Source organism: Homo sapiens, chromosome 22, assembly GCF_000001405.40.
Source record: "Homo sapiens chromosome 22, GRCh38.p14 Primary Assembly".
In the NCBI taxonomy this organism is placed as follows: domain Eukaryota; kingdom Metazoa; phylum Chordata; class Mammalia; order Primates; family Hominidae; genus Homo; species Homo sapiens.
In genome coordinates, this window is record NC_000022.11 from 46,263,367 (window position 1) to 46,267,904 (window position 4,538).

Below are 4,538 nucleotides of genomic sequence, written 5' to 3' on the forward strand. Positions count from 1 at the left end.
AACCGCCACCGGGGTCGCGGGGATAGTGAGGGTCTTGGGGACAGTGGGGGTCTCGGGCGTCGAAGGGCGCTGGCAGAGGGGTCCCAGGGACAGAGTCCCAGAGAGCAGCTGGGACCTCGGAGCTTGGGGTCAGTCGGCACTGGGGACTTCTTGGGTACCTCTTCCCTCTCCGTCCCCAAGTGTGTGCAGGCCCAGGGTCAGGATGGCTCAGGAGGGCAGTTCAGCCCCGTGCAGACCACAGAGCTGACCACGGAGAAGGGGCTTCAGCAGGAACCCTTGGGAAAGCCAGTCACAAAATGGGAGATCAGGAGGGAACCGTGAGATCCCTGGGCGCCCAGGAAGGTCTGACTCTCGGTTTCTTACTTTGGGGTCGCTTTGCTCTTTTCTTTCTAGTTGGTTTGGGGGTTTTGTTTTTTGTTTGTTTGTTTGTTTGTTTGTTTTTTGAGACGGAGTCTCTGTCACCCAGGCTGGAGTGCAATGGCTTGACCTCAAGTGATCCACCCACCTCGGCCTCCCAAAGTGCTGGGATTACAGGCATGAGCCACTGTGCCTGGCCTCATTCTTTAACTCTGTCCATTTTTGCTGTATATTTTGGGACTTGATTGATGGATTGAATGATTTTAGAGACAGGGTCTTGCTCTGTTGCCCAGGCTGGAGTGCAATGGTGCAATCATAGCTGACTGTAACCTTGAACTCCTGGGCTCAAGGAATCCTCCTGCCTCAGCCTCCCATACTACAGGTCTACACCACTACACCTGACTGATTTATTTTTTATTTTTGTAGAGATGGTGTCTTGCTGTGTTTCACAGGCTGGTCTCAAACTCGTGGTCTTAATTGGCCCTCCCCTGTATTAGTCCGTTTTCATGCTGCTGATAAAGACATAACCAAGACTGGGAAGAAAAAGAGGTTTAATTGGACTTACAGTTCCATATGGCTGGGGAGGCCTCAGAATCATGGCAGGAGGCAAAAAGCACTTCTTGCATGGCAGTGGCAAGAGAAAATGAGGAAGACGCAAAAGCGGAAACCCCTGATAAAAGCATCAGATCTCCTGAGACTTATTCACTACCACAGAACAATATGGGGGAAACTGCCCCTGTGATTCAGTTATCTCCCACCCGGTCCCTCCCACAACATGTGGGAATTATGGGACTATAAGATGAGATTTGGGTGGGGACACAGAGCCAAACTATATCATTCCACCCCTGCCAAATCTCATCTCCTCACATTTCAAAACCAATCATGCCTTCCCAACAGTCCTCCAAAGTCTTAACTCATTTCACATTAACTCAAAAGTCCACAGTCCAAAGTCCTGTCTGAGACAAAGGAAGTCGCTTATGCTTATGAGCCTGTAAAATCAAAAGCAACTGGCTGGGCGCAGTGGCTCACCCTGTAATCCCAGCACTTCGGGAGGCTGAAGCGGGCAGATCACCTGAGCTTGGGAGTTTGAGACCAGCCTGACCAACATGGAGAAACCCCATCTCTACTAAAAATACAAAATTAGCCGGGTGTGGTGGTGCATGCCTGTAATCCCAGCTACTCGGGAGGCTGAGGCAGGAGAATCGCTTGAACCCGGGAAGCAGAGGTTGCGGTGAGCCAAGATCGTGTCATTGCACTCCAGCCTGGGCAACAGGAACGAAACTCTGTCTCAAAAAACAGAAAAAAAATCAAAAGCAAGTTAGTTATTTCCTAGATACAGTGGGGTACAGACATTGGGTAAAGACAACCATTCCAAATGGGAGAAATTGGCCAAACAAAGGAGTTATAGGGCCCATGCAAGTCTGAAATCCAGTGGGGCAGTCAAATCCTAAAGCTCCAAAATTATCTCCTTTGACTTCATGTCTCAAATCCAGCTCATGCTGATGCAAGAGGTGGGTTCCTATGGTCTTGGGCAGCTCCGCCCCTGTGGCTTTGCAGGGTACAGCCTCCCTCCTGGTTGCCTTCGTGGGCTGGTGTTGAGTGTCTGCAGCTTTTCTAGACTCATGGTGCAAGCTGTTGGTGAATCTACCATTCTAGGGTCTGGAGGATGGTGGCCCTCTTCTCACAGCTCCACTAGGCGGTGCCCCAGTAGGGACTCTGTGTGGGGGCTCTAACCCTACATTTCCCTTCCACACTGCCCTAGCACAGGTTCTCCATGAGAGCCTTCCCCCTACAGTAAACTTCTGCCTGGCATCCAGGTGTTGCCATATATCTTCTGAAATCTAGGCAGAGGTTCCCAAACCTCAATTCTTGACTTCTGTGCAACTGCAGGCTCAACACCACATGGAAGCTGCCAAGGCTTGGGGCTTGCAATCTCTGAAGCCACAGCCCGAGCTCTACATTGGCCTTTTTCAGCCACAGCTGGAGCAGCTGGGACACAGGGCACCAAATCCCTAGGCTGCACACAGCTTGGGGACCCTGGGCCCAGCCCACAAAACCACTTTTTCCTCCTGGGCCTCCAGGCCTGTGATGGGAGGGGCTGCCATGAAGACGTCTGACATGCCCTGGAGACCTTTTCCCCATTGTCTTGGGGATTAACATTTGGCTGCTTGTTATTTATACAAATTTCTGCAGCTGGTTTGAATTCTCCTCAGAAAATGGAATTTTCTATCACATTTTCGGTCTGCAAATTTTTCAAACTTTTATGCTCTGTTTCCCTTTTAAAACCGAATGCTTTTAACAGCATCCAAGTCACTTCTTGAATGCTTTGCTGCTTAGAAATTTCTTCTGCCAGATACCCTAAATCATCTCTTTCAAGTTCAAAGTCCCACAAATCTCTAGGGCAGGGGCAAAATGCTGCCAGTCTCTTTGCTAAAACATAACAAGCATCACCTTTGCTCCAGTTCCTCATCCCCATCTGAGACCACCTCAGCCTGTACCTTATTGTCCATATCACTATCAGCATTTTGGGCAAAGCCATTCAACAAGTATCTGGGAAGTTCCAAAATTTCCCACATACTCCTGTCTTCTGAGCCCTCCAAACTGTTCCAACCTCTGCCTGTTACCCAGTTCCAAAGTTGCTTCCACATTTTCAGGTATATTTTTGGCAACACCCCACTCTAATGGTACCAATTTACTGTATTAGTCCATATTAGTACTCAGCTCAAGTGCAAAATTTAAGGGTGGAGGGGCACCAAAAACTCAATAATCAAGACAAATTCTCTTTTATTGAGGTAAAGTTCACATAAAAGTAACCATTTATGGGAGGCTGAGGTGGGAGGATTGCTGGAGCCAGGAGTTCAAGGCTTCAGTGACTTATCATCCCTATCCCCTCAGTCCCTGGTCACCACCAATCTTCTTTCTGTCTCTATGTTTGCGTATTCTGGACATGCATGTAAATGCACTAATACAAGTGTTACCTTTTGTGTCTGCCTCTTCCTTCAGTATGAATGAACCTTGAAAACGCTGTAGGAAAGGTGTGTCTTCTTTGGAGAACTGTCACCTCAAATTCTTTGCCCACTTTAAATTTGGGCTGTTTGTCATTTCGCTGTTGAGTTGTAAGAATTCTTTTTTTTTGAGACAGAGTCTGGCTCTGTTGCCCAGGTTGGAGTGCAGTGGCACAATCTTGGCTTACTCCAACCTCCACTTCCCGGGTTCAAGCGATTCTCCTGCCTCAGCCACCCAAGTAGTTGGGATTACAGGCATGCACCACCACGCCTGGCTATTTTTGTACTTTTAATAGAGATAAGGTTTCACCATGTTGGCCAGGCTGGTCTTGAACTCCTGACCTCAGGTGATCCACCTGACTCAGCCTCCCAAAGGGCTGGGATTACAGACATGAGCTGCTGTGCCCGGCCAAGATTTCTTTATGTATTCTGGATTCTAGACTCTTACCCAATATATGATTTACAAATGTTTTTTCCCATTGTGTTAATCTTTTCAGTTTCCTGAGTAGTGTCCTTTGATTCAGAAAAGTTTTTAATTTTGACGAAGTCCAACTTATCTATTTTGTTGTTGTTGCTTGTCCTTTTGGTGTTACATCTAAGAATCCATTGCTAAATCCAAGGCCATGAAGATTTACTTCTGTTTTCTTCTAAGAGTTTTATCTTTACAGCTCTCACATAAAACAAATAATACTTCAGTGCAATATTTCAAAAATCAAAACTAATGCAAAAAGTCCATGATGAACAAAATAGCATTTTAAATAAAGGCCAGATCTGCCCGTGCACTTGGTTCTACGCCCTTGATTCGTGCACCCTGGGGCGGGGGCAAATTAAACTAGGGGAGCCCATTGGACTGGGGCTGGTGTGTGGCTGATGGCAGAGTTCAGGCCGGGCCAGACCGGGCCAGTCCAGAGGGAGAAGCCGCTACTGCAGGAGACAGAGCGATTTTTCCGCTGCAAATCCTTGAGAAGGGAGGATGGAGGCGGCGGGACGACCCAGTGAAGCCGGCCCCGAACGCCAAGTGAGTGTGTGCCGTGCGCGCGCGGGTAGCTGCCGACCGCAACGACATAAACTTGAAAGTGACCGCTGTCCCGGAGCTCCCTGCTCCCAAGGGACCCGTCGCGTTGCAGAGTTGTCCGGTCGGGCCTCTGGGGCGGGCCCGGATCCTGGACCAGGGCC